This window comes from Homo sapiens, chromosome X, assembly GCF_000001405.40.
Source record: "Homo sapiens chromosome X, GRCh38.p14 Primary Assembly".
In the NCBI taxonomy this organism is placed as follows: domain Eukaryota; kingdom Metazoa; phylum Chordata; class Mammalia; order Primates; family Hominidae; genus Homo; species Homo sapiens.
The window spans coordinates 55,448,776-55,460,120 of NC_000023.11; the positions used below are offsets into that span (position 1 = coordinate 55,448,776).

At 46.7% G+C, this 11,345-nt stretch overlaps 1 protein-coding gene and 2 non-coding genes across 3 annotated transcripts, besides 2 other annotated features; 2 read left to right on the plus strand and 1 right to left on the minus strand.

The window, feature by feature from the left end:
* On the plus strand, window positions 2,720-2,807 carry MIR4536-2 (microRNA 4536-2). Its single transcript, NR_130469.1, has one exon. It is a non-coding gene; the product is annotated as a microRNA 4536-2 (primary transcript).
* MIR4536-1 (microRNA 4536-1) lies at window positions 2,720-2,807 on the minus strand. Its single transcript, NR_039764.2, has one exon. It is a non-coding gene; the product is annotated as a microRNA 4536-1 (primary transcript).
* On the plus strand, window positions 3,352-4,791 carry MAGEH1 (MAGE family member H1). Its single transcript, NM_014061.5, has one exon. It carries the CDS (start codon window positions 3,600-3,602, stop codon window positions 4,257-4,259), a length of 660 nt encoding a protein of 219 aa, NP_054780.2. The 5' UTR covers window positions 3,352-3,599; the 3' UTR covers window positions 4,260-4,791.
* Window positions 3,565-3,614: an enhancer, noted in NCBI's record as "active region_29677". NCBI's record gives its function as "activates an Ori minimal core promoter by ATAC-STARR-seq in GM12878 lymphoblastoid cells {active_cell/tissue: GM12878}" and the evidence as "EXISTENCE:reporter gene assay evidence [ECO:0000049][PMID:35858748]".
* Window positions 3,765-3,814: an enhancer, noted in NCBI's record as "active region_29678". NCBI's record gives its function as "activates an Ori minimal core promoter by ATAC-STARR-seq in GM12878 lymphoblastoid cells {active_cell/tissue: GM12878}" and the evidence as "EXISTENCE:reporter gene assay evidence [ECO:0000049][PMID:35858748]".

Sequence of the window (11,345 nt, forward strand, 5' to 3'; positions counted from 1 at the left end):
GAAATAAGAAAGCTTTTACACTGCTGGTGGGAGTGTAAATTAGTTCAACCATTGTGGAAGACAGTGTGGCAATTCCTCAAGGATCTAGAACTAGAAATACCATTTGACCCAGTGATCCCATTACTGGGTGTATACCCAAAGGATTATAAATCATTCTACTATAAAGACACATGCACACATATGTTTATTGTGGCACTGTTCACAATAGCAAGGACTTGGAACCAACCCAACTGTCTATCAATGATAGACTGGGTTAAGAAAATGTGACACATATACACCATGGAATACTATACAGCCATAAAAAAGGATGATTTCATGTCGTTTGTAGGGACATGGATGAAGCTAGAAACCAACATTCTGAGCAAACTATCACAAGGACAGAAAACCAAACACTGTATGTTCTCCCTCATAGGTGGGAATTGAACAATGAGAACACTTGGACACAGGGAGGGGAACATCACACCCTGGGGCCTGTCGTGGGGTGGAGGGTAGGGGGAGGGATAGCATTAGGAGAAATACCCAATGTAAATGACGAGTTAATGGGTGCAGCAAATCAACATGGCACATGTATACCTATGTAACAAAGTTGCACGTTGTGCACATGTACCCTAGAACTTAAAGTATAATAATAATAGAAAAAGAAAATTAAATAAGTTGGAAATACAGTACGCCCAGCCAACAGGCAGACACTTGAAGAGATTATGGTAAATCCATTGCAAGGAATAACATTCAGCCACTAGAATGAAAGAATTAGAGGTATAAATTGAGGAGATTTCATTATTAATTAGGAAAAAGGTTTGCCTGGAAATTCAATATGGAATGGTTTGATTTTTATAAATGAAACAAAGTGGAAAGCCATGTGTTCTATCTAAACATATACATGCCAACACATCAGCAACCCTACTCGTTGATGTTGATCCTAGAGAAATGCATGCACATGTTCATAGGGAACATGCGCACAAATATTAATAAGAGTATTATTTTGTTTTGGAAAAATGGGAACTGCATAGGCGTGGATCATTAGGAACAGGATAAATTGAAAATGATGAAATGTACAAAATTAAAATAAATGAACTAGAGTTCCATGTATTTACATGGGTAAACATAAAAAATATAAAGTTGAGCTGGAAAACCAAAGTGTTGATCAATGTATACATTATGAAGACGTGCTTTAAATAAAGGAAGAGATTCTATATTGTGTACAGACACAGAAGTAGGTAGCAAATATATACAAGTCTCCATGGGCATAATTGCTGACTTCATTATAGAGGAGCACAGTGGGGAAGGAGAGAGCAGAGTGGGTCAGGGAAGACGTAATAGGAGGGTTTTGCCATATCCAATATATAAAAGATAAACAGTAAGTAGGGCCTAATATTTAAATTTTATACAGCTAGCTATTGGTGTTTATAATATTAATCTCTCTTCTTTGCCCTACGTTTGAGATTAAGTCGCAGTAAAAAAAAATTCATGCTAAAAACAAGCAAATAAACTGCAAAAGTAATCCTCCCATTTTTGTTTCATGAGGGTAGGATTGTACATGCTATAGACTTCCATGCAAGACCCAAATTCCTGGAAACAGTAAAATAAGTTCATACCTGTACTGAAAAACAATTCAGAGCAATTATCAATGGACCAGAAACTGCGAGAATTCTCAGAATGTGGGACAGCAGATGGAGCCAGACTACTGTTTTGAGTAGGTCATGTCCCAGAACGCGTGCAAAGGTTATCCCAAACGGAGGGCTGGCTCAAGAGTGCTCTGTGTCCTGGAGAGGTGCTTTCTTTGCTTGACCAAATTGATTTATTGCTAACTTACCCAACAGGAGGTCTCGGTGGGCTCTAATTATAAAGAAAATTTCAGCAAGACAGGCATAAAGTATTCATTTGTTTCTTAAGAGTTCAGTTAAGAACACCTATAAAATCTTTTCCATCATGAATTCCTTCAGCACGCATTTATTAAATGCCACACTCACACACCGCTTGGAAAACCTTGAGAGGCAAAATCTGTGCTTACCATGTAATAAATGCTTTTCATTTTTTATCTCATTTAATTCTCACAACCCTATGAGGGCTGTACTTTAGCCCCACTTTATAGATGGGAAAACAGGCTTAGAGAGAAGTGACTTGCTTAAACTAATACCTTGAATGACATAAGAAAGATATAGAGTGCTAGTTATAGGGCTTTCCTCAATGGAGTAAAAATGGACTCATTACCCTTTTGGGCAGATCAAGACAAGCTTCAGGGAGAAACAGGTCTGTGAGCAGTCAAATGGAATTTAGATAGTTGGAGAAGGCTGAGAAGACAGGTCAGGCAGAGCAAACAGTGAGCAAAAGCAAGCAGTGGATAAAGTTCAGAGTATGCTCTGAAAGAAGCAAAATAAATCAGGAGTCCAGGAAGACTGGAGCCTAGAAACCTTGGAGCCAATCTGAACTCCATCATCCCCTCCACATTCCCCACTTCATCCATTCTGTCTGCAAAGCCCTTCAACGGTCACCTTTAAAATGTCTTTCTGCCTCTCCATCCCCATGGCAACAGCCTTAAGGCATACTTTAGTTCCCAGTGCTTCTTATTCCAATTGCTTCCTATGTGGTCTGCCAGGAAACAGTTTGCTTTTCTGAGAGGCTGCACAAATGCAATTCCTCTGATCCTGTCACTGCCCTGCTTTCATACATACATACATACATATATGTGTGGTAGATATATGCACTGTATATAAACATAATGTGGTAGATATATGCACGATATAGGTATGTATGTATGTATGTATAAAAGCAGGGCAGTATATATATCGTGCATATATCTACCACATTTTAAAGGCTCTGCACCTCTTTCACCCTGCTTGTTTCTGCAGTCCCATCTCCTCACATCATCCAGCACATCTGCCATAACAATATTATCCGGGTCCTACATGGGACCACAAATTGATTAGTATACACACAAATGCCTTCTGAAAACAGGGCGAGTGAATGAACGCGCTGTGTAAGCCAAGACAGGAAAGGAAGGCTGGAGACAGCTGACTCCTTCCAAGAATACACCCTCCCGCCACCCCTGGCCTCCCAACCCCCAACACACACACAGCCCGTCGTCAGTGGGAATGGAGCCGACGCACTCCTTCCCTAGACCGTCGAGCCAATCTTGGAATGTTTGTAGTAGGCTGAAAATACAGAAACTTTAAGCTATTTTTTTCTCTTCTGCAAACTCCAGGCCCCTCCAATCTCTAGCTGTCATTTCTGCCCTTGTCCCACCCCTGTCGCTGCCTGCCCCTTTTCCTATCTGCTAGCGGAAGTCCCTGTGGAGGACCAGCCTACTTCCTCTTTGGTGCTAGGAGTGTGCGTGGCAGGAGAGGCGGGGCCAATTTTGCTGAGCTTTCTCGCGGGCTTGCAGCTGCGGCAAGTGCTGGCGGCGGCTGCTCGCGCAAGTCAGCTGGCGTGGGAACTACCCTTTGTAGCTGAGAACGGCTTGTTTATTGCTACAAAGACTCTATTGACATTGGTAGCTTCAGCGGCAGCAGCTTCTTACGGTATAAAGCTGTTGCTTCCTGAAGAGGCTACAAGCATCCTTCCCTAGGACTGCTGTAAGCTTTGAGCCTCTAGCAGGAGACATGCCTCGGGGACGAAAGAGTCGGCGCCGCCGTAATGCGAGAGCCGCAGAAGAGAACCGCAACAATCGCAAAATCCAGGCCTCAGAGGCCTCCGAGACCCCTATGGCCGCCTCTGTGGTAGCGAGCACCCCCGAAGACGACCTGAGCGGCCCCGAGGAAGACCCGAGCACTCCAGAGGAGGCCTCTACCACCCCTGAAGAAGCCTCGAGCACTGCCCAAGCACAAAAGCCTTCAGTGCCCCGGAGCAATTTTCAGGGCACCAAGAAAAGTCTCCTGATGTCTATATTAGCGCTCATCTTCATCATGGGCAACAGCGCCAAGGAAGCTCTGGTCTGGAAAGTGCTGGGGAAGTTAGGAATGCAGCCTGGACGTCAGCACAGCATCTTTGGAGATCCGAAGAAGATCGTCACAGAAGAGTTTGTGCGCAGAGGGTACCTGATTTATAAACCGGTGCCCCGTAGCAGTCCGGTGGAGTATGAGTTCTTCTGGGGGCCCCGAGCACACGTGGAATCGAGCAAACTGAAAGTCATGCATTTTGTGGCAAGGGTTCGTAACCGATGCTCTAAAGACTGGCCTTGTAATTATGACTGGGATTCGGACGATGATGCAGAGGTTGAGGCTATCCTCAATTCAGGTGCTAGGGGTTATTCCGCCCCTTAAGTAGATCTGAGGCAGACCCTTGGGGGTGTAAAAGAGAGTCACAGGTACCCCAAGGAGTAGATGCCAGGGTCCTAAGTTGAAAATGATGTCGATTGGGGGCGGGGGACACTGTATTTGATATTTGTGATCAGTGATCATTGTTCAACTGCGAAATAGAGTGTTTGCTTTTGATAATGGAAAATTGTATTCGTTTTAAAATTCCGTTTGTTGAGAATAACAATATGTTTAAAAATATAATTGAACAAATTTTTTTCTTTGTTTCCTGTCATTGACATTTAGTATAACAGTTTTGCTAACGTTCTAAAATGAAGTCGTTCCATCATAATCTATGATCTTGTACAGCACTTATAGAAATAAGCTGTTCTTTTGAAGTTGAAATACCCAGTAAAATGTTGAAGAAGGATGGAGGATTTCTTCATATCTGACGTTTCTGAAACCCTTTGTGTCTGCTGTTGTGTGAAGATTGACATTTACCATGATTTTCCTTAGTTACTGCAGAACATAGAGAAAAATAAAAGCCTAACGAATAGTACATCTTGCGCATTTTCTGACCACCTGTTATGTGAGGCACCAGTCTAGATTCTAGGGATACTCCCTAGTACACATCCTCCAGGTCCAAAGAATGTTCTAGATTATGTGGGAAAGAAAAATAGGTAAACTGGCAGTGCAGTAAATGCTGGGATAGAGAACGAGCCTGAAGTGCCATGAAAATGTAAAAAACCTTATGTGACCTGTCTTGGGGAGTGGGCCGGGGAAGGGAGCACCATAGGATGTGTGAAAATTCAAGAGACACTTAAATAAGTTTGGGGGGGACTGAAATATACGATCAGAATATATGATGAAAATATTATGTATTAGATATTTGATTGGATACTCCACCCAGCATAGGGGAGGGAGCACTGGCAAAAAGAAGAGGACATCACAGGGTGCCTGCCACGGAAGTAGAAAATACACAAAAATCATCTTGAGAGGAGGAGGGCAGAGAGAAGGGGTGGTTGCAGGGGAAAAGGTTGTCATGGGGTACTTCAGAAATAAAAAAAGATGAGACCGTCAGAAAATCTTGGTGAGGGGACAATCTGAGGTTTGGAAATAATAGAGAAGAAGGGGAGGGAGTAAAAATGGAGGCACTGAAGGTAGCGTGGACATTTGGAAATAAACTCTTCACCGAACTGTTAAGGTTATATGAAGGGGAAAGTGGAGAACAAGGAATGAGGCAAGGGAAGAAGTGAGCGGGGCAGACCCTCAAAGGGTGGGTGTTGTGGCTGACTTTAAACTAATGACAATAAAAATGGTTAATAATAACAACCCTGAAATAATTCGAGAAAAGGCTATAAAAAAGCAGAACTTCTGAGATACTGGATGAGCCAGAGAAAAGGCTCCACCTGTGGCATCTCCGAAAGGTAACCTTGCACTTCTCTCAGGAACTATGGTTCGTTAGGGTGCACACATTGTTTAAAAGTGTGTGTGTCCAAGGGGGCAAAGGGGCAATGGAGTAAGTCCGGATTGGTACCTGGCACGATGGCCCATGCTATACTAAGTCATGTGGGATCAGGCGCAAATCCTACCACCTTTTCTCCAAGAGCTAAGCACTGCATGAACTAGGTCCCCTGCTGGGGAGCACTAGTGACAAGTGCCCAACCTAGCCCTGTGGGGCTCATGGTAGCAGCTATAACACACAAAAGAGTGGTCAGGCTACCTTCTTCCTTCTTGACATCCAGGCTCACGCTGCTTCCAGCTGTGTGCAAAGTAACGTCACTAGGTGCAGGGTAGGCTAGCAAATGACCTTCTGGAGAAGGCCCAGGGACCCACTCTCCTCAGCTTGCAGGCCAAGGAGGCTTCAAACAAAAGTAGTAACTATGACCCCATCAGCAGCTCCAAATTCATTCAGCAAGCCAGAAAATGGTGAGCGCCTTCTGGGATTCAGACAGTGTGTTAGAAACTGGAGCTGCAGAAAATCAAAAGGCCTGTTCTTTGCCCTGGGAGGAGCTGTATTTATCAATACCACCTCCAGAGGTAAACAAGGTGGGAATCTGAGGTCCAGGTTCCTCGGTGACTTTCTCTTCTAGAGCCACAGAAGTGGCAAGAGAGAGATCCTAGACAAGACCCTATGTCCATTCCCTGCAAACCCACAGTGCTTTCCTCTAGGCCACCCTGCTGCCGGTCTCTGCCTGCTAGTGCACTCTCAAGGTCTCTGTCCTCAAAAGAAACACCACGTGAAGGCAGGGGAAGAGGTGTGAGTAACCCTGGCCGCGGCATCCAATCCTTCTGGGGACCAGGCCGGATTACATTCCTCCCCCGACCCGCCCTTTTACCCAAGGGGGCTTACAGCAGTCAGTCAGCCCCAGGTCAGTCAGCTAGTAAGTGGGAGAGCTGCAGAGTAAAAAGATTTGTTGAGCACCTGCCTGTCCCAGAGGCATGCCACATATTATCTCTGCCAGGCCGGTGTGATTACTGCCCATTTAACAGGATGCTCCTCCGGCTAGCTCAGGGGAAGAGGTAATGTCTTCCCCAACCCTGTCTGAATCCATGCTTTCTTCGGCTCTGGTGGCAAGTTATCATCCAATGGTCTAAAATGGTTCTTTGCAAGTACGGGCCAAGAAGCTTAATTCAGTCAGAGAACCAGCAGTATAAGAGGAGAAAGACTGGGAGAATACCTCCAGCTGCCCTGTCAGAGAGATGACTGCTGGAATCCTGAAGGCCTCAGGCAGGAGGCTCTGCAGGGGATTGGGAAACAAGGGATTGGGTGACAGGTGACCTGCCCTAGCGCAAGAAGGAAGCGATCAATGGGCCAGGCTTATTCTCTTGTGGCCTGGGGGTTCAGTCTCCCTAACACACTACAGGAGTACTGCAAAGAGTTAAACTTCCTTTGATTAGATAAAGGCTGAAGAAGGGCGGGACTTCCGGTGGCTGTGAAATGAAAGACAGGGGTGAGGGAGAGGCAGGGAAAGGGGCTTCTGGAAGGTGGAGAGAAAAAGAAAACATTCACCGTGCCATTTACAAAAATTCTTTGAGCTTTGCGGGGCATCCAGATGAGACATCCAGGTGCAAGCCTCTTGCTGAGTAAATCTGAAACCTAAACTGGCCCCACCCCAGCGGAGGTTCCACAAAGCAAGTGGGAAAGCTGCAGTTTTAGGTGCAAGGATGCCTCTGAAAAGCGATTGAGTTTCTGGGTCCTAGAACACTCCAGTTGTTAGGATAACTCAAGGATAGAGAGCCCCAAGCTGCCCAAAGCCTAGCAAACTTGGCAGCTGGCATTTACCGAGTGCCTAAATTGTTCCAGGCACTTTGATTGCTGTTTTCATGCATTGTCTCTAACTTTGCAGTAGTCCTGCAAGGGAGATGCCACCAGGCCAGGCCGAGTTTACAGAGGAGAAAACCCCAACTCAGATCTCACAAGCAAGTTGCCAGGATCAGCTGGCTGGTCACTGGCAGCCTTGCAGGTGGACCCAGGGCCTGCCAAGTCTGAAGCCCATGCTGCTATGCTACAGGGAAAGACTCCATCTCCAGGACAGCTGGGGCTGGGAAAGTCTTCTGTTTTCAAACTTGGACACATGGCAGGGTAGGAGTGACAGGGAACATGCCGGGGTCAGGTGAGGAGGTGTGGGAAAATAAAATTAATCTGCACTTTCAGGATTAGCTGTGGCAGTCTGTCCCTTTATTTGGAAGGGCTGGGGCCCTATTGCCAGGCATCTTTGAGGGATCATATGTGTGGAGTGAGCATTTCCTTCCAAGACAAGTGGACTTCCCCATCACGACACATTCCCCAGAAACTTAACTACCCAGCACCCTCCATCAGTCCTCAAAATCCTAGGTCCTGGCTTTCCCACGGTGGACCAAGCAAACAACAATGTTTCTGAGCCTGTGACATTGCTCCGATACTGTTGCCAATGCAGAAGATACTGGCAGACCTCTTCCCTTGAGCAGAGCAACCGGGATAAGATGCTGACAGACAGCAAACAGTGGGCATCTGCCCATGAAAAAAAGACAGGTTCCAGGGCATCCTCCTTGGGCCCAGTGTTGCGGCCTTGGCCCCAGCAGGCAAGTGCAGAGCAGACAATGGCCATGACCAAAGGGAGATTTGGATTCGGCCTGGGCTCACGTTGGCTCCTGTGAGGTGGGTAGCGGGCAGGATCCCCCCGACTCTTTTCTTTGGCAGAAAGGTAGAATTCTGGCCTTCTGGAGGAAATTATTTTGGAGTCGTGGTGGAGGTGGAGAAGGGTGATTCTTACGAAGATGTGCTGAGACCTGTACACAGATTCCTCCAGGGCTCGTGAGCCATGGAACAGTTAAATGTCAAAGAGCAGATGGAATTTCTTTGAAAATCCCTGTGAGGGCACTTTGTCAAAGGAGGGGCTCAGCTCAGCCAAGACTACATAGAAGAATAACTGGAGTAATCTGGGGCTCAGAGACTGGAGGAGAAGTGGGCTCTAGGCTTGCACTGCTCATCATGCAACAGGCTTGCAAAGCTCACAAGGGTGATTTGGAGGGGAAGGCAGAGTCTATACACAGATAGTGAAAATCAGGCCCAGTTCTTGACTGGTCGACTTCCGCCCCAGTTCCTGTGGCAAATGACACCAGTGTTGCCAATGTTATCTCCACATGTGCAACGCATGAGAAGTGGTTGAGATTCCTCCTGTAACTTGGACCACGGAGGCCTGTGTAGTCTCAATAATAATGTAGCCTATATTATTTTGCATGTTGTGATTATCCAATGATTCATCCATTCACTCTTTCAACGAGTGCTTATTAAGGTCTACTACGTGCCAGTCTAGTCAACTGGGATTCATAGGTGAACAAATCTCAAGCACCCTGGCCCTCGTGAATGGTACATACAAGAGCAAGGAAACAGAAAATAAAATGCAAACCTTTTACATTACTAATTATATAGAAGGGTAGAAGGAGACAATCACTTTGGGTGGGGCAGGTGGTGGTGGTGGTGGTGGTAAGCTAACACACAGCAGGGTAGGGTGCATTCGGGTCGTTGAGAATGGGAGAAGAGAAAGGGAGTAGAGCATTCACTGCCATATGCAAGGGTACACAGGTAGGCTTCATTGGAGGGGTGACATTGGAGGAAAGAAATGAAGAAGGTGAGAGGGTTTGCCTTGCGGATATATAAAGAAAGTACTGTCCGGGCAGAAGGTCCAGCTGGTGCAAACGCTCTAAGGCCAGGGAGTGACTACCACGTTTGAGAAATGGCAGAGAGGCCAGCGTGGTTGCTGTAGAGTGAGCCAAAAGGACGAGAGCAGGAGATGAGGTCAGAGAGATTAACAGAATCCCACATTATGTAGGGCCTGGGAGGCCGTTTTAAGGACCTTAGCTCTTGCTTGGGGTGAAATGTGGGGGGAAGAAGGAGGGAAGCAGTGAGGGGTGGAACAGAGGAGTCATGTGATCTGACACACGTTTGGAAGGGATCACTTTGATTACTTACTATGCCGAGAATAGAGTGAATTCAGGCGAGGGTAGTGGGAGCGTGGAAACCAGGTAGGAAGCTACTGCTGCAAGCCAGGCTAGAGATAATGGTGGTTTGGACCATCCTGGTGTCTGTAGACATGGTGAGAACTGCACAGGTTCTGGAAACATTTTGAGGTAGACCCAACAGAATTCCTGATGGTTTGAATGTGGCATGTCAGCGAGGACCAAGGCTGACTCCAGGGTTTTTTTTTGCCTGAGCAACAAGTAGACTGGGATTGGTATCAATTCCAGTCTACTGGGGAGTGCTGCAGTGAGAATAGGCTTTGTAGGTGGGGAGGGGTTCAAAAATTCAGTTTTGTACACATTGAGTTAAGCTGTCTCTCTGACATCCATGTGAGTCAAGTAGGCAGTTGTATATACAAGTCAGGAATTTGGCTGAAAGATCTATACCTACATATATGTGGATGGCGCTTAAAAGCCACGAGACTACATGAGCTCCGCTAGGGAGGGAGAGCACACAGAGGAGGGCAGAAGGTCACGAACAGAGCCCTGCAGCATAAAGGGATCAGAAAGAAGAGGAGACACCAGCTGAGGAGATGGGGAAATTGGCACCAGTGACGCATGGAGGAAAACCAAGAGTGTCCTGGGAACTATGTGAATAAAAGTGTCTCAAGAGGCATCCAGCGGTCCACTCTGCTCAAACTGCTGATGTCAGGGGAAATAAGAAGAGGAGTGAGAATTAACCATTGCATTTAGCAGTGCGGAGGTTCCTGGTGACCTTAATAAGAGCAGCTTCTTTGGGGGACTGTGTGAAAAAGCCTGCTTGGGACAGCTTTAAGAGAGAATGGGAGGAGAGGAATCAATGAGTATGGACAAGTTTCACAAGGAGTTTTGCAGCAATGGGGAGCAGAGAAATCAGGCGGCATCTGGTGGGGAAAGAGGGAGTCAGGAAAAGGTTTACTTCAGGTGGAAGAAATACCATTGTGCTGAAGGCAAGCACCCGGTGGAGAGACATGAAATCAATAGCACAGGGGTGGCAGAGAGCATCCTTGGAGCAGCAGCTTTGAGTAGGCAGGAGGGCGCCGGGAACTTGTATCAAGGGGAGAGCTGGAGCATGCAGGAGGAGTTGCAAAATAGGGAGCTACTGGAGTGGGTAGATGTCAGCTAGGCATTCTGGCCCTCCTGAACTCTTCTAGCTGAGGTTAGGCACCTGCCTATTTGTTGATTCTGCATGTCTGTTGAGTATCTACTATGCATGAGGCACACTTGTGGGCACTTTACTAACATTTAACACTCCAAACAACCCGTTAGGTGGGTTGTGTCATAATACCATGCTACCTGTGAGAGGTCTGCCGCTCAAGGAGGTCAGCTGGACTGGCCAAGTTCACTTAGCAAACAATTGGAAGAGTAAAGCTTTGAGAGACAGCCTGCCTCTCCAGGTAGGCTTATAAAGCTCACATCTGCTGGCAAGTCAGAGTGTGGGATTACTCTTGCATCCTCTTACACTGGTAACAAGCCTGCCCACTGAACCACAGAAGCTTCTGATGACCACACGGAAGCCACAGTCTCTATGTCTGGGCACCTGCCTCAGTTTCCTGTGTGCCACTGCTACTTCAGTGTGCATGAGCTCGATTCTGAGTCTGAGGCTGAGTGGCAGGGCCTCTCTGTGACCTT